Source organism: Homo sapiens, chromosome 9 (genome assembly GCF_000001405.40).
Source record: "Homo sapiens chromosome 9, GRCh38.p14 Primary Assembly".
Taxonomy (NCBI): Eukaryota; Metazoa; Chordata; class Mammalia; order Primates; family Hominidae; genus Homo; species Homo sapiens.
The window spans coordinates 87,643,891-87,662,113 of record NC_000009.12 but is presented as its reverse complement, the minus strand read 5'-3'; the positions used below and the strand labels follow the sequence as shown (position 1 = coordinate 87,662,113).

The window sequence follows — 18,223 nt, the reverse complement described above, 5'->3', positions numbered from 1 at the left end:
CAAAACTGATAAGAACATACACTGGAAAAAGGACACCCTTTTCAATAAAGAGTGTTGGGAAAGTTGGATATCTATTTGCAGAAAAATGAAACTGTATCCTTCTCTCTCACCATTTGCAGAAGTCAACTCAAGATAGATTAAAGACTTAAATGGAAGATCTTAAATTATAAAAATACTGAAGGAAAACTCAGGGAAAACTTTCTAAACATGGGTCTAGGCAAATAATTCATGACTAAGACCTCAAAAGCATACGGAACATAACTAAAAATAGACGAACAGGACTTAAACTAAAAGCTTCTGCACAGCAAAAGAAATAATCAACAGAGTGAACAGACAACTTGCAGAATGAGAGAAAATATTCGCAAACTCTACATTCGACAGGGAACTAACATCCAGAATGTACCAGGAACTCAAACAACTCAACAAGAACAACAAAAACCCCAAAATAATCCCACTTAAAAGTGGGCTAAGGACATGAAGAGACATTTTTCAAAAGAAGACAGAAAGCCCACAAACATGAAAAGCATGTTCAACATCACCAATCATCAGAGACATGCAAGTTAAAACCACAATGAGTATCACCTTAACACCAATCAGAATGGCCATTATTAAAAAGTCAAAAAATAACAGATGTTGGAGAGGATGCAGAGAAAGGGGAACTTTTATACATTGTTGGTGGGTATGTAAATTAGTACAACCTCTATGGAAAACATAGAGAAATTACGCACAGCAACTTCTCAAATGACTAAAAATAGAACTCCCATTCATTCCAGCAACCCTACTACTGGGTATCTACCTGAAGGAAAATAAATCATTATGTCAAAAACATACCTGCACTTGTATGTTCACTGCAGGACTACTCACAGTAGCAAAGGTAGGGAATCAAACTAAGTGTCCACCGACAGAGGACTGGACTTAAAAATTGTGGTATATATACACAATGGAATACTACTTGGCCATTAAGAAAAGGAAATCAGCCTGGGCGTGGTGGCTCACGCCTGTAATCCCAGCACTTTGGGAGGCCAAGGTGGGCAGATCACAAGGTCAGGAGATCCAGACCATCCTGGCCAACATGGTGAAACCCCGTCTCTACTAAAAATACAAAAATGGGCATGGTGGCTTGCACCTGTAGTCCCAGCTACTTGGGAGGCTGAGGCAGGAGAATCACTTGAACCTGGGAGGCAGAGGTTGCAGTGAGCCGAGATTGCCTCACTGCATTCCAGCCTGGCGAAGAGCGAGACTCTGTCTCAAAAAACAGAAACAAAAACAAAAAAATAAAAAATAAAGAAAAAAGAGAAGGAAATCATGTCCTTTGTAGCAACATGGATGGAAATGGAGGCCGTTATGCTAAGTGAAACAACTGAGACACAGAAAACCAAATATCACATGCTGTCACTTAAAGTGGGCACTAAATGATGTGTACACAGGGAAGAAGAGTGTGGAATGATGGACAACGGGGACTTGGAGGGGTGAAGGGGAGGGAAGCGCGTGGAGGATGGGAGTTTGTTTGATGGGTACAATGTGCTTTGCTCCAGTGATGGACACACTGAAGACCCTGACTTCACCCCAGTGTAATATACCAGTGGAGAAAATTGCACTTGTACCCTATGAATATATACAAATAATAAATCAATCAATAAATTTATTGACAGGTATGATAATATTTGCATATCTTGTGCTAATATATTATTGAAATTCATTTCCTGTTTCTTTTTCCTTCTTCCATGTGGCTGCTAGGAAACTTAAACCGAGGGATGTGGTGTGGTCACGTTTCTGAGGGCGACGCCCCCAGTAATGCCCTCCAGTCTGGAGGGTCTCCCCGGCCCTGCGGAACCCTCCCCTGGCTGCCCACGGGAGAGGAAGCCCCGGTTCCCTGCGGGGAAGGCCGGGCCCACCAAGCTCTGCTCACCCTCCCATCTCCTGGGCCTCCACGCCAGCTCCAGACATTGTGCTCCCACCGCAGGAGGGCACTGGAGGCCGCTGAGCTCCGGTCCTGAACAGGGCAGGGAGATCCTCCCGGGACTCTGTCCGGCTGAGGACGGGGCCTGGCCTGCAGGTTCCAGCAATGCCTCCCGCAGGGGCGCCCCCAGCCCCTGTCCACGCCCTCAGGACCCACTCCTTCCTGTCACCACGCGGTCCCATTCAGTGACTGTAATTGACGGCTATGACTCTCAGGTCAGCATCCCTCTCCCATTTCCAGAAGTCTCCTGAGGGGCGCGTGCCTGTCTTGTCCCTCTGGACTCCCCGCTCTCACTGTGCCCCCGGTGTGTGCGGAGTGACTGCGGGTGCGGTGTGTGCAGAGTGACTGAGGGGGCTGCAGAATGAGCGCTGCGGGTGCGGCTCTGAGGTTAGCTCTGGGCACCGTGGGAGGGGCCTGGGGACAGAAGACGCTTTTCCTGCGGTGGCAAGCGGGAGAGCAAGGAGGTGCACGGAGGGACCTGAGGAGGAGCCAGGCGGGGACCACTGATACAGATGTCGTGGGCAAGGGCAGAGGGGCCCGCGGCTCACGGAGGGACCCTACAGAGGGGGCCGCACATTTCAGCAGCCCCAACCCGCACTGCGGGAATCAGCAGCGTCAGCTGCTGGCATCTTCAATAATGGCCTGGCTGGGTCTTTCATGAGGCCACACATAGGACAAAAATATTTCTTCGTCTTGAAAATGCATATAAATGCTCTATTAGGGAGTAACTGGAACCTGTGCCCAAGCATGGCTGGGCAGGGCTTGACAATGGCCAACAAGATCTAGCAAGTCAGGCACAGCAGGGTGATGTGGGTATGGTGTGTGCGTTTGCGGTGGGTGACCAGGTGCCCTAGAAAGGGGCCTCACCCCATGCGGAGTACTGGTAATAACTGGGCCTGCAGAGAAAGCACAGAGCTGGGCCCCCCACTGCACAGATCAGACCTATTACTTCTGGGGAGGGAATGACATCCCAGTAACATGAGTGCATTCGGGGAGGCGACATCCTAGCCCCAGCGGTCAGCAAACATTTTCCGTCAAGGGCCAGGCAAGTAGGTGTTTCGGCTCTGTGGCCCATATGGTCTCTGTCACAGCTGCTCAGCTCTGACACCTGGCGTGGAAGCCGCCAGGGCCAATACAAACCTTGGGCATGGCTGTGTCCCAATAAGACTTCATTTACAAAGACCAGCAGCGGGATATGGCCCGTGGGCCATGGTTTGCTAACCTCTGGATGATCTCCAGGAAATGAGGCCCTCTTGGTCTCCTCAGAGAATCACCCTCTGTCAGTAAAGCTCTCATCTGTGAGTCCAGGACTGTCCCACAAAGACTGGACAGTCAGCCTACTCTCAGGCCAGCAAACACTCGAATGATATTATTTCACTGCAGCCATAAAATTGCAACCATACCTCATTAGCTGATGCATTTTCCTTCTTGGGTATTTCATGAAATGTGAATCAAAGGGTTTCCTCAGCAGGGAGGTGCTAGGTCTGGCATCGGGAGCAGGGAGTGAGAGAACTGAAGAAATCTCACTTAAAATACTCCACAGGCCTAAAGCAATGCCTGACTCTTTAAGCAACTCCTGCTTACGGCACCTGGCAGCCTGGTCTTGTGGGGTAAATGTGGAGACTGCACCCAACACCCACTGAGGATTCTTCCTCCCCCAGCTCCTTCTAAAGGGCAGGGGCTCCAGCACCCTGGGGCAGAGGAGCATTTAGGAAGGGGAAGTACACACACCCCACCATGCAGGGGCCCTGGTGTGTGACATGAAAAACAAAAAGGCCAGCGGGAAGCAGCGGAATCCCTGGCAGAGCAGGGTGTGGTGAGATGAGAAGAGGACGAACATTAAGGAGACATTAGGCTGGGCATGTGTAGGCGAATGTCTATGTTACCGCAGTGGAGGAGCTATGGCTGAACAGCAGCCTGGCTGCTTCAGAATGCAGAGTTGCCATACAAGCCCTGTCCCTCCTGCCCTGGAGGCGCCAGAGGCTCCCAGCAGCTCCCTCCTTCACGAAGCCCTGTGGGCACTCACCGTGGTCAGCGCCTCAACGCTGGCTCCCATCAGACAGAGATACCGGACCACGTCTAGGATTCCGTTGTTGGCCGCAAGGTGCAGAGGCGTTCGCCCATACTGGGAAGAGAGAAAAAAGGCCAAAGGTCGTTCTTCTCACGCAGTTGCTGAGGATGACATTCCGGAGACACAAGGTTAAGGAAGGGGTCAGGGCCCACCAGAAAGGAGGAAGGAGCCATCTCCCTTCTCCTGAAACTTGCTCTCCACTGGGGCAGGCCAGCCAGGCAGAACCTTTCCAAGTACTTTGCAATTAAAAGAGGAGCTTCAAAATACAACTTCAAAGATAACTTAAGTAAGTTTCCTGCTGTGCTGGCCTGAAAGAGACAGGAGTCAAGGGCTCAAGGTCCAGAGTTCCAGCAAGATCTGCACCATAGTTCAAATTTAGACACAGCCAGGGAAGAAGACATGGAAGACAGATATTGAAGACATCCTAATTAGTGAAAATACCAGGACAAGCCCATAAGCCTTGTTTGTGCCTATGGTTCCCAAATTGTGTGCCAAGGTAACCCAGGGAACTGTACTGAATTCATAGGGGTGCCCAGGAATATCTAAAGTTTTTGATAAGAAACATGGTTCTGAGACCAGGTGAACTACTCGCTTGAAGAGGTGCAGAGTGTCATCATTAGACTGCACCACCCTGCCTTCCATGACATCATGTCTCTCACAGCGGGGGGTTGGTAGCTGCCCTGAGAGGAACCAAGAGTCTTGAGGAAATCACTGTGGACAGGAAATGAGGCCGTGTCCACTCTGAGTCCAAGGTTTCAGAAGTGCAGTGCCCAACGGGAGCACTCATCAGATTGTACGTAATGTGGTCATGGAAGAAGGAAAAGAAAATATTAGTTTTCTTTCCGTTTATGTGTATTATCTTTCTTAGCTGCTGCTAAGCTGTTAGGACATAAGCGGTTACTAAGTTGTTTGGACTGAACCACTCAATGAACAGAACTGTTAGGGATTTCTTTTGATCTAGGGGAACCATGAAAAAACTAATTACTGAAACCCTGAGGATGTTGTGAACTGAGAAAGTTTGGGAATTTTTTTTAATGCTATGTATTTTTAAATATCAGTTTTTGTTATAAAGTTAACACATGCTCTTTTTAAAAATCCAAGCAACCTAGAAAAACATAATACAAAATAAAAATCTTCCTTCTCCCCTCCCCCCTTACTCTCAAGCTCCCTAGCTCAGAGCTGTCCCTGTTTAACATTTTTGTCCATTTCCTCCCAAGCTCTTATCTATGAATCCTCAACAGGAGAGAAATAATTTAAACAGCCGAGATGTGGTCATAGCCCACCTCCCACTCTGTCCCTTGCTTTGTCCACCTAACAGTAGATTGGGAACACTTTTCCATGCCTGTAACGGGAGGGATCACATTCTCGTGAATGCCTGAATCGCGTCCACTGTGTGGCTCTCATGATTCATTCAGCCACTGAGGCGGGAGGCTAGGCAGCTCCAATTCCCGGCTAGTGTAAACACTGCTGCAGTGTGGGATACATTCATATTTCTTTATTATTATCTTCTGCAGTAATGCAGAAAACAGATATTAAGCTTTCAAGCATCCTAGAGTTCACGTGAGAAGGAAAAGGGAAAGTTTTGAAGACTGGGTGAAATGTTTAGAAGATGCAATGTAAGGGAGATGTAATTTTGGTTGTAGAATGCACAGTTTTCTAGAAGGGAAGAAAGCTGAGGAAGAGAGTGTGATGAAGAAAAGGGCAGAGGAAACGGCCACTGTTGAAGGGCCCAGGTTGGGACAGAATGACACCAAACCCCTTAGCCTTAAATTCCAGGTCTGCCACACCTGGACCCAACGTCTCCAGCTTCATTTTCTCCCTTCCCCATAACCCCCTCCCTAAATACCTACCCAACACCCGCCGTGTGTCAGCGACAGCCCACGGCAGACACACTGGCTTCCCTTGGTGGAAAACAGGCTTCCCTCTTCTCCATCTGTCAAAGCCTCGATCATCTTAAGTGATCAACTCTGAAAAGCCTTCCCTGATTTCTTTAATATCTGAATTGTTGCTTCTGTGTTTCTGGAGCACCTTATGCCCATCACAGCAGCAATGACAACATGAGATGCTGCTACATCTGAATTTGAGTGTGTCTAAAAGTAGCCTGAGGGCAAAGCCATTCACCTTGGCATCTACGAGTTCCTCCCTCTGCGCTGGGCACAGTGCTGCCCTGGAAGGGCCTCGATAAACACCTGACAGGCAGGGAGTCCTCTCTCATCCTCCCAGATGTGTGCGTGTGCACAGCGTGCCTTCTGTCTGTCCTTATGGGAAGCACCGACTTAAAGAGGGACAAATGGGTAAGGGCCATGCATTCTGCGCCATCTATTCCCTTTCCTTTCCGTGCTTTCTAACACGGCAAGTTAAACGGCCACTCTCCTGATTTCCATATGAGAAGGAGGAAGAATGCAGAAATGTCTGTTTCACTGCATTAGCGTCAAACATAGCCATGAGGTCCTGTCACATACTGGTGACAGGGTAGGATTTGAATGGCCATTTTTATTTCTGGAGGAACTTAATTCAGATAAGGAAAAGGCAAGACCACGCAATGGAGAAAGAGCAACAGCCTCCTTGTAGAATGTGGATGCCACCCCACGCTCACAATCAGTTACTTGAGTGAGTCTCTAGAAAGCTGGATGTGCTTTGGTAGGAAGCGATGCCTTCTGTTACGTACCTGTGCTTCTTTTAAGCCCTTCTAAAGCCCCCATCACCTTTCCTTTAAAAAAAAAAATAGCAAAACAAGCCTGACAGCAACCCTTCTGAAGAAGCTGTGAGATCCCCAAAGTCAGGGTGTGCTGATGATGGGAGCATCAAAGCCAACCTGGGGAGCCTGTCTGCGGGGGCAGAGATGCAGAGCTTGTGTGGAACCAGCACACTTCTGTCCAGATGGGCTCTGAATTACGGGTCTGAATTTTGCTGCTAATTCCAAGGGGTTGAAACTGGAACTGATGATTTTCACATCAGCTGAGCTTCATTCAATGACAAAATCATCTACAGAAGGCCCTCTATGTACAGCTGCTCTGCCACAGACAGTGATTACACAAGTTTATGTCAGCATTTATCGACTTTACTTATAGATATTTGCAGCCTGAAAAATGTGAGACTTTTCCAGTAAATAAGCCAGTGGTTTCAAAACATGAAAGTCTGGGACTGTCTTGTGGATTTTTTGAAGAGTGTATTTAACAAGTGAAGTTGTACATTTAGGTATGGAGTGAAACTGGGAAGAACACATTCCCTGTTGAGGTTAGGGCAAAGCACCATGAGATGCTCAGCTCCTCCTCTCTCCTCTCACAAGGGGAGAGCTGATTCTAGATGCTGCACACATAGTAGACCCCTGGGTGCACAGTGGGAATGTCTACAGAGAGTCAAATAAGTGCAGATGTCCCTTGAAGCTGCTTTTGATTCATTTAAAGAATCCTAGATGGAAACCCAAGGTCTTGATGCTACTTCATATTACACTTGGCTTTCCCCTTAAGCCACTTACACAACTGACTTGGCAAGATTAAAACGGGACAAACTAAGAAAGCAACCAGCAGCTAATGGCTAAAACCTGGGATACTGCCCTTCCACACAGTCTCAGAATGTGAAATTACCAATTTCAATTTCTGCTTGAGTTAATCACATAACATGCAAAAGGAATAAGTGTACATAAAAGTATAACTTTCCAGCTGTTTCAGATATCCTTTTACCTCCAACAAACCATACTAGAATCCTACTGGCATTGTATATGCCATTGATAAACATTTCCTGAAATTAAAAAATTAATTGTGCTTGGACTTCATTTTTAGCATAATCGTAATGGCATAATGCTTGTCTTTAATACAGCTACAGGGCCAAAATCACAGGAATCTGCAATAGTCTGTGTTGTTTGGTAATGAACATCTATATGGAATTCAGAGAAAAGGGAAGGTGCTGGCTAAAATCTAGAAGTCAACATTTTTTATGAACCTAAAAGCACAGTTATTTTCATTTCTCCATTTTTCACCAAATGATAGCATCTCTTTAGTCTTACCACATTTATTTAGCACAAAAAACGGTAGTAGGAACTTTTGCCCATAAAACTCTCAATGCGGAAAGCTAAGCAGAAAAATATAGGGCCAGGTGTGATGGCTCATGCCTGTAAACCCAGCACATTGGGGGGCTGAAGCGGGCAGATCACTTGAGGTCAGGAGTTCGAGACCAGCCTGGCCAACATGGTGAAACCCTGTCTCTACTAAAAATACAAAAATTAGCAGGGCATGGTGGCATGAGCCTGTAATCCCAGCTACTCAGGAGGCTGAGGCATGAGAATCGCTTGAGCCCAGGAGGCAGAGGTTGCAGCGAGCCAAGATTGGGCCACTGCACTCCAGCCCAGGTGACAAGAGTGAGACTCTGTCTCAAAAAAAATAATAATAATGATAATAAATAAAATAAATAAATAAAATAAAAAAGAGAAATACAGTCCTGGGATCAAATCTTAATGTCACTAGACATTTTCCTGAAGACTTAGTGCTCTAGAAAGATGTTACAATTTTACCATGCTTCTCTGATTCCTCTACAGAGCCTCATGCTCACATGCATGTACACACACACACACATACATACACACACACGGGATTTCCATCAGTGTACACTGAGTTATGCAAAAAGTACTTATTATAATAATTTTCTGTTTATCTATGAAATTATTCAAAAGTCACATGTAAAATGCAACTTAAGATGGCAAAACGCTATAAAAAAGTACATGTCCATATAAGTAATATTCACTTTCAACAACAAACACATGCAAATAGAAACTTGGCCAAAATCCAGGATCAGGTGGGAGCACACAGAATCAGGACCCAGGATTGGGGGGATGGACACAGAATCAGGACCCGGGTTCAGGTGACAGAACACAGAATCAGGACCCGGGATCGGGGGGATGGACACAGAATCAGGACCCAGGATCGGGGGGATGGACACAGAATCAGGACCTGGGATCAGGTGAGAGAACACAGAATCAGGACCCGGGATCGGGGGGATGGACACAGAATCAGGACCTGGGATCAGGTGGGAGGACACAGAATCAGGACCTGGGATCAGGTGAGAGGACACAGAATCAGGACCCGGGATCGGGGGGATGGACACAGAATCAGGACCTGGGATCAGGTGGGAGGACACAGAATCAGGACCCGGGTTCAGGTGAGAGAACACAGAATCAGGACCCGGGATCAGGTGGGAGCACACAGAATCAGGACCCGGGATCGGGGGGATGGACACAGAATCAGGACCTGGGATCAGGGGGATGGACACAGAATCAGGACCTGGGATCAGGTGGGAGGACACAGAATCAGGACCCGGGATCAGGTGGGAGGACACAGAATCAGGACCCGGGATCAGGTGGGAGGACACAGAATCAGGACCTGGGATCAGGTGAGAGGACACAGAATCAGGACCCAGGATCGGGGGCATGGACACAGAATCAGGACCTGGTATCAGGTGGGAGGACACAGAATCAGGACCTGGGATCAGGTGAGAGAACACAGAATCAGGACCCGGGATCAGGTGAGAGGACACAGAATCAGGACCCAGGATCGGGGGCATGGACACAGAATCAGGACCTGGTATCAGGTGGGAGGACACAGAATCAGGACCCGGGATCAGGTGGGAGGACACAGAATCAGGACCCGGGATCAGGTGGGAGGACACAGAATCAGGACCCGGGATCAGGTGGGAGGACACAGAATCAGGACCCGGGATCAGGTGGGAGGACACAGAATCAGGACCCGGGATCAGGTGGGAGGACACAGAATCAGGACCTGGGATCAGGTGGGAGGACACAGAATCAGGACCCGGGATCGGGGGGATGGACACAGAATCAGGACCTGGGATCAGGTGGGAGGACACAGAATCAGGACCCGGGATCGGGGGGATGGACACAGAATCAGGACCTGGGATCAGGTGGGAGGACACAGAATCAGGACCCAGGATCGGGGGAATGGACACAGAATCAGGACCCAGGATCGGGGGGATGGACACAGAATCAGGACCCGGGTTCAGGTGAGAGAACACAGAATCAGGACCCGGGATCAGGTGGGAGGACACAGAATCAGGACCCGGGATCAGGTGGGAGGACACAGAATCAGGACCCGGGATCAGGTGGGAGGACACAGAATCAGGACCCGGGATCAGGTGGGAGGACACAGAATCAGGACCCGGGATCAGGTGAGAGGACACAGAATCAGGACCCGGGATCAGGTGGGAGGACACAGAATCAGGACCCGGGATCAGGTGGGAGGACACAGAATCAGGACCTGGGATCAGGTGAGAGGACACAGAATCAGGACCCAGAATCGGGTGGATGGACACAGTTGGAAGCTGTAGGGATCCTGTTCTCTGTGCATACCTTGTTGGAGATGTCCAAATTGCAGTTTGCTTCACAGAGGGCCACCACGATAGGCATGTTGCCATCTTTACATGCCACATGGAGGGGAGTATTGCCGTGCCTGTCTTGATAATCGACGAAACACCCTTGGCTGAGGAGAGTCTTGATTACCTCCATCTGACACCGTCTTACAGCCAGATGAAGGGCAATGTGTCCGTCCTGGAAACAAACCCCAGAGATCATGAGAGCTTTTCACTTGGGCATGTGGCCTCCGTCTCTTCACCTTTTCTGCCGCCATCGAGTGAGGTTTAATTGGCAACAAGATCACTACTAAAAGCCCTAGTGGAGGATTTAAATGAAGAAACTTTACTCCTATAGCAGGGGTAAGGACTGGGAGGATGCGGAGCTTTACATATTCCTCTCTAAATAATCACAGCCTAAGCTGAACACTAGCTTGATTCATTTAGGCTTCAGCAGTACAATCAGATAGAACATAAGTAATTGTTGATACTCCAATGGCCTCTTTAATCAAAGCATTTGTAAAACACTTTTAAAAACATTTGCCCAGCAATCTCTGCCAATTTCCTAAATAGAGAGCCTATTATTTTACCTTGCACCAGGAAAAATGTGAAAGTATTGTGAAATAACTTGCTCAAGGGCTGTCATATAAATGAGAAGCAGATTTAACATGTGTAACCTCTGCATCCCATGAAAAACCAGCCCGGGCATTCATTCTACCTATTACAGAATCCCTAATGAATAGATGTGTTGAGTTTTAGGAGCTGGGTGGAGAGTTCTGAAACATTTCTAAAACCTACTGTGCTAGGGTTTCTCAGCCTCAGCGCTATTGGCATTTGGAGCTGGGTGATTCTCTGTCGAGGGGGCTGCTCTGTGAGCTGCAGGATGTTTAGTAGCACCACTGGCTGGGATCGACGAGATGCCAGTAGCAACCCCCATCTCTAGCTGTGACAACCAGAAAGTATCCCCAGACATTATCAAACACCCCTGGGGGCAAAGTCGCCCCCGACCCAGAACCATTGCTCTATACAAAGAAAATAACTTCACAAAGGGCAGATATTAAATTAACTACAGAATCCCAAATCTAACCGTATATAGCAACATCACAGGCTTGTTTTAAGTACAGATCACAATAAAAACAGATGAGGCTGAATTTGTTTAATTAAACCTGGTCTAGCATCGAGATTGCCAGACAAGAGTGGTTTATTGTCTTTTTACAACACAGCGGATGATAGAAATAAGTAAAACATCTATTTCTTTGTTTATCTAAAAATTAATAGCGTGTTGCCAATGTCAGTCCTCAATGAGAATTGTCTCGGATTCAGTGAACATCACTGTACCTGCTCTAAAGCTAAAAAAGCTAAAAATTATTTAGAGACCAAAGTCAATTGATCAACTCATGAATTTTGTTATATGCCATAAATTAATATTAACTATTAAATACAATATAGAAAAGTTCACAGAATCTTTGGAACAGAGAAGAGACGGGGTAATTACAGTTTGCTGCATTCAAGTTTGTTATCTTAGGGAAACAAACTGAGGAGTCTTGTGGTCCCTCTAGACCCCTAGATCACTTCCCAGTGCATATGAGTCTTCCCCCATAAGGCACCTTGTCGCAAGCATTAAGGTCGGCTCCATGTTCGGCCAGACACTCCACGATGTCGTGGTAGCCCCTGGCAGAGGCTGTCAGGAGGGGCGTCTCTCCTTCTCGGTTCTTGATGTTCACGTTACAGCCGGCTTCACAAAGGGCTTTGGCCACAGAGTAATAGCCGTGCCAAGCAGCACAGTGCAGGGGGGTTTCTTCTTCCTGGCCAAGGAGACGAGTACAGAGAGGAGGAGAACACAATAATGAGAAACAAAGTATAAAGCAAGGTGAGAGTCCCTGTCAAATTTGGCAGAAACGCAACCAAGGCAGCAGAGGGAAAGAGCTCATAGGTATTGGAGTGAAATATTAATCTGGAATAAAATAACAACATGAGTGTGAGCCACCAGCATTAAGAGGTAGATCTGATGTCTCTCTTTCATTAGTTTTCCTTCCTCAACACTTGTGTGTTTGATGAATTTGGCTTTCTCAAGCATATGACTGACAATTGACTTTCGGGAGCCCGTTGAAACCATCGGCCCTGCTTGTCTGAACAATAGAGCCTTCGTGCAGGTGCATTGCAGCATCTTTCTAATAAGTGCCTCGCTGACTTTATCTGAAACTACTAACAGTAGGTAACCACTTCCCTGAGCATGAATTCTTCCAGCAACCTTAATGCCTCTAGCTTTCTGTCATGTTTACAACACAAGGTGAGTGGTAACAGTATTGTTGCTTTGGCAAGAAGGTAATTAGGAGAGCCACACTTGAACAAGTCAAGGGAAGTCCTTATAGACCGTGAGGCCTGTATCTTCAGGATCAACATCGCTAGATACATATATGCACCGATGAGAGGCCATCCTAGTGCGGCGGTGGTTACAAAGGTGGACTCTGAAACCAGACTGTGTGTGTTCAAGCCCCAGCTCTACCACTTCTGAGCTTTGTGAGCCTGGGAAAGTTACAGAAACTTTCCCTGTCTCAATTTCCTCATCTCTAAAATGAGAATGATAACAGTAATCCACCTCATAGGGCTGTTCAGCAGATTGAATGCATGAATGAATCAAGTGGTTAGACCTGATCCTGGCATTAGCACCTTGCACACCTTAGCTAGTACTTCTGTTTGAGTCCCTGCCCCTTGAGCCTTGCCCTCTGTAGGGGAAGACAGAAAGCCTAGCTTGGATAAAACTCTAAAGGCCCCGACTGTACCATCTGGCTGCCTGTACATTCATGTATAGAGCAGAGGAAGGGAGGATGTCAGTCACGACCCACCTTGTCCTGGATATTGGGATTTGAGCCGAAGCTGCACAGTAACTGAGCCACGTCAGCATGGCCATAGCGAGCTGCCACGTGGAGGGCCATCTCTCCAGACTGCAGAAGAAAAGGAGCCGGTGATTCAGAGCCACATCTGTGAGCAGGCTATGGAGACCAGAACCCAAGGCCTACACCCAGGCCTGCCTGGTTCCACTCTGTCCCCTTTGGTTCCACCCACCCACCTTGGGCAGATGCCCCTATAGTGGCTAGGATGGGGACCTGAGGTTGGGGTGTCCACCACACAGTGAGTATTAAGCCCACATACTTGGCTCATCCTGTGAAGTGCAAACAACTCAGGAGAAGGCTCTCCCTTTTCCATGATAGCTGTTCTCAGTCTTCTTTATGTGCTGATACTTCTAGCTGTGTGATTTTCTCTTTAAACACAACACTCTCTTTTTACTATTGGGTTCATCATTCAGCAGTTACTTAAATGAACAATTTTATTTATTAATAAGCTTCTCATTTCATTGCCTATGATTAGAAACTTATTTTCTTATATTCTCAGAGATTTTCTCAGAAATTTTAAAGAATGTCACTATTTGCCCATGCAATAACTTTCTGTGAATTAGTAACAAGTGCAAATCCTTTAAGATACTTTACTTCTATCCACCCCACAGAAAATCATCAGAATAAACAAATTTTAAGAAGACAAAACAAGATATAGTGTTGCCACCTTCCAGAAAACTGCCATAATAAATGCGTGTCTCTGATATGAATGTTACCCCTCAGATATGGTGCAGTGCACAACCCATGCAACTGCATGTGGCAGCTTGACTAAACGTCAAATTAGTCTGCCAGTACTGGAAGCAGAGAAGTATTGTACAGTAGAATAAATAATGGATGAGTAGGTAGGAATTCCAGGTTCAGGTTCCAGCACAGCCAATTAATTCACAGGATTGTTGTGTGAACTGAATGAAACACACACATATGAAAACAAGGTATCTTGATAAATCAGTAACTTTTATAACACCGTTGTGCCAAAAAAAAGCCTTACTTTATTACTTTATGTGCATTGTCTCATTAATATCTTCTAGTGTCTGTGATTGTCAGGTCAGCACTGTCAGCCACTTCAAAGAAGAAGAGAATAGGAGAGATCCGCTTAAAAGCACAAGGTTGAGTCAGGAAGAAAATCGAATCGAGACCGAGGTCTCTCTCTGGTTGTCTGTACTAGAACTTTGAGGTTTTTATGTTATGGGGATTATAATTCAATGCGTGCGTATTATGGCAACTACCTGAAAGATTTTGACTTAAGGCTGATTTCAGTATTAGACCAAACCACAGGCAACAAGACATTTCCAACTTAAATGTTCTGCAGGTGAATTCTGGTCCTGATTCCTTTCCTTTGGGTCCCGATGCACACGGTAGGCCAGCACTCACACTCACATGCATCCATTTACTACCACCTCATGTTCCTCCTAAGAGAAGTGGCCTTACCTTGTCTTTCACATCCAAAGGGCATTTGTTCTCACTGAGAAATTTCAAGGTATCGACGTGGCCATGCCGAGCAGCCCAGTAGACGGCATTGGACCCGCCCTGCAGGAAAATCAACCTGGGGTCACATTTCTAGGGAGCTGACAGCACCAGATGCATGCATTCCTCAGACTCACTGTTATTTCCCTTCCTGTGTGATGACAAACCCCAGAGGAGCAACTTCCCAGAGGAATAAAACCCTCATTCTATTTTACACCTTTGACAAATGTACCGTGGTTACACAAGATGCTAGCATTAGGGGCACCTGGGTGAAGCGAATGATGGAACTCTCTGTACCACTTTTCCAACTTTTTTTTGTAAATCAAAAATGATTTCAAAATAAACAATTGCTTATAAACAATTATTTTATGTTTGTAAACCCTCATCTCCCCTCTCTGGTTAGGATTCCCTTACTGCAGAGGGCCAGATCTACTCCACTTACAGCTCTGCTGACGTCTGCAGAAGCAGGCAAACAAATTTCTGATGAGAATAATTAGATAACAAAACTTTTTCATGTGTGACATCTAACATTGTTGAGTAAATGTGATCGGTAAGAAGTAAAATCTGGGTAGTGTACAAAGAAATGCTGATGTCAAGCAGCAGCGCCAAGGGGAGGATAAATGATAAATGTTTGCCTCTTTAACCCATGTGTCAGGCTGTACCAAGCTGTTTAAAAGCAGCTCATCTTCCTTTACAGGAAACTGAGAAACAAGTTAGGACATAAATTTTTTTCCTCTGTTACCCCTATGATTAAGAGACACTTGAAAATACTTTAAAATTCAATTCATTTCAATAAAACAATTATGACCTTATCCTGGACATCGATTCTCGAGCCTCTTTTAATGAGCAACTGTAGTATTTGAATATTCCCACAGCCAGCAGCAATGAGTAATGGAGGTGTCCCGTGCTAGAATAGGCAAGAAAAAAATTACTAATTTTCAGGTTTGGTAGGAAAGGAAAAGCCCAAACGATGATTGCTGTTACCACACACCTTCCCCTGTCTCAACAGACATAGAGCTACCACTGCGTGGCAGGAAGAGAAGACAGGTGGAAGGGTATAAAACCTTTCCTTCCCCTTTTGGATTCTCATCATCAGGGACATTTTCATTAGCAGGATGAGAAGATCTAAAATTTCATGGGTAGAGATACAATACGTGAATGAAGGAAGGCCCTCAATGCACAAAGACCTTATTTGTAACTCAAATCACTTTCTAAACAGAAGTGATTTTCCCCACAGTATGGAGCTTCCAATTGGAAGGGAGAATGGAGAAGCAGATGGGGTCTTTCCTTGGATATGGAAGGGCAAGGTCGCTGTGACCCACCCCTCCAGTATGCGGCAGAACAGAACCAGACCTTGTTGGGTTGGTTAACATCATAGTTGGATAATGAGCCCAGAAGGTGCTGCAGGCCTGGGACATTGTCATCGTTGATGGCATGGATGATGGCTTTCATCACAAAGGAGTCTTCCTCATCCTTGAGAGAGACAGCCAAGATGGAAACAGAGTTACATTGCTAGCCATGCTTTTCTTACCAACATAAAAGAAACCTGTGCTCACTTGTTAACAGGGGCATTCAGAGGAAAGTAAGCCATTTACTCCCCAAATCCATACAGTCATGGAGGGACCTAGGAAGGAATTTTTGCCCCTTCCATGTTGCAAACAAGCACTATCTACTCTTTATCTGGGCTTTAATATCACCTGCAGTATAGCCCAGAGACACAATGTCCAAGATCCAGATTTCAAATAATGATGATAAGTAACCCTTTGTGTTTATCTTAAGAATCTGTCAAAACATAGTTCCTAAAACCACTGTGAAAATTTTTAGGTATAACACAGACTCTCTTCCTGGATAAGGAAAAAGAAAAGCCTATTGCAGCAAAGAAATGATACCTTTGAATAAGATATTCTCAATTTGCAATTTTTCCAATTACAGAATTGTTTTCTGATCACTTGAATTTCTTCCATTGCTAGGTATAGAATAACACGGCAAAAATCTCTGAAAGCTGGTCCCAATTATAAAAAACAGAAAAATAAAAATTAAAACAATAGGCTCTAAATAAAGAAAATAAAGGCTAGAAATCAGAAAACTGATGCATTTCTAATTACAAAGGAAAAATAACTGGAAGAGTAGTGAACAAAAACTGGAAAAATCTTTGCCACTCTTTCAAAATTCACATTAAAACTAAGGAATTAGCTAGAAAAATCCTAAACAAAATTTCTGAACTTATAAACACAGAATTATGACCACTGGAATTTCAAATCTGGAAAAGTTAATCTACAGAGGCTGAATCTCTGCTTGTGGGGGAGAATGGAGAAAGCATTTCTCTCCATCTGCTTTCTCTTCTCTATAGATCTGAATCCAAACACTTTTCATGTGGGTTTTAGTAATATTTGTATAAAATGCATGTTTAAGAATGCTTTTCTATCACAATTGAAGTCAATGACTAAGAGGCGTTTACATGAAAGTGCAAGTCAAGAGAAATGGGGAAAACAGAAGGAATAAAGCAGATTGTTATGACTCATCCCCATGATTAGAATATGGAAATAAGGGAATCTGACCTCTGGGAGGGTATCTTTCCACCTGGAGCTCCTACAAGACCCTTGGTCCCTCTCCTACCCTAAACTTTTCACTGTGACACATGTATTGTCTCTCAGTTGAATATTCAGTGATTTCAATTTGCAATCTTTAATCATTCTCATTATCTTACCTAGAGTCACAGTTTTTATCTTTTCACTGGTTGTGCAGCCACCCTCTAACAATTCCCAAACAAAGCCTCCTCTTCTCTCTCTTCTCGCCCTAATCTGCTTCTCTTTTGCTTTTTTTTTCAAACATCTCCAATCCCATTTCACTCCACAAGGCTAGATGTGAAGCCTCAGTGAAGCTACTAACTTAAGGAGAAAAAAGGGGAGCTTGGTGTTTGCAGTTCCCACCCTGAAGTACTTGGCTCCACCGGGAAAATGCTGACTATTCAGTTAAAGGGGCAGGGTAGTTCCCGCAGGACAACCGTGGCTGCCTTGTCTGGAGTCCCCTTCACCTCCTGACTTAACAAAGCCCCGTTGTTTGATTGTCAGGGGAAAGTCTTGTTGAATTCGGACACTTCCACTCGTATCTGAAGAGCTTATCTGTGATTAGGTTTCAGTTTGGATTAGAGGGGAAAATAAAGAAAATAAAGGCTAGAAATTGGAAAATAAATGCATTTCTAATTACAAAGGAAAAATAACTAGAGAGTACCGAACAACAAATTTGATAAATCTTTGCCACTTTGTCAAAGTTCACATTAAAACTAAGAAAGTTGGAGTTACATTCAAGGGCCTTGGGCAGTCAACACCAGGCCAATCATGCAAGCAGGTTTGGCCTTCTGGTCTGCTAGGAGACACATCAGCAAGCAGCACTGCATTCTCCCTGATTCTCTGGTGTGGGTGTGTGGGAAGGGAGTGGCGGCTGTCTGCCCCTTCTGTGCTACTGTTAACCAAGATT

At 45.7% G+C, this 18,223-nt stretch overlaps 1 protein-coding gene across 9 annotated transcripts in view; it reads right to left on the bottom strand.

The window, feature by feature from the left end:
* DAPK1 (death associated protein kinase 1) overlaps positions 1-18,223 on the bottom strand; it is a 211,407-nt gene that overhangs the window by 46,521 nt on the left and 146,663 nt on the right. For 7 of the 9 annotated variants that reach the window (NM_001288731.2, XM_047422887.1, XM_047422886.1 and 4 more), the window contains exons 12-18: positions 16,100-16,219; positions 15,555-15,653; positions 14,711-14,809; positions 13,235-13,333; positions 11,996-12,193; positions 10,390-10,587; positions 3,987-4,085 (exon numbers count right to left, since the gene is read on the bottom strand). In NM_001288731.2, the coding sequence (NP_001275660.1) occupies positions 3,987-4,085; positions 10,390-10,587; positions 11,996-12,193; positions 13,235-13,333; positions 14,711-14,809; positions 15,555-15,653; positions 16,100-16,219 (912 nt within the window). Of the gene's footprint in view, positions 1-3,986; positions 4,086-10,389; positions 10,588-11,995; positions 12,194-13,234; positions 13,334-13,541; positions 14,344-14,710; positions 14,810-15,554; positions 15,654-16,099; positions 16,220-18,223 lie in introns of those variants that run through there. The other 2 variants (XM_017014360.2, XM_047422888.1) reach the window with 2 other exon arrangements.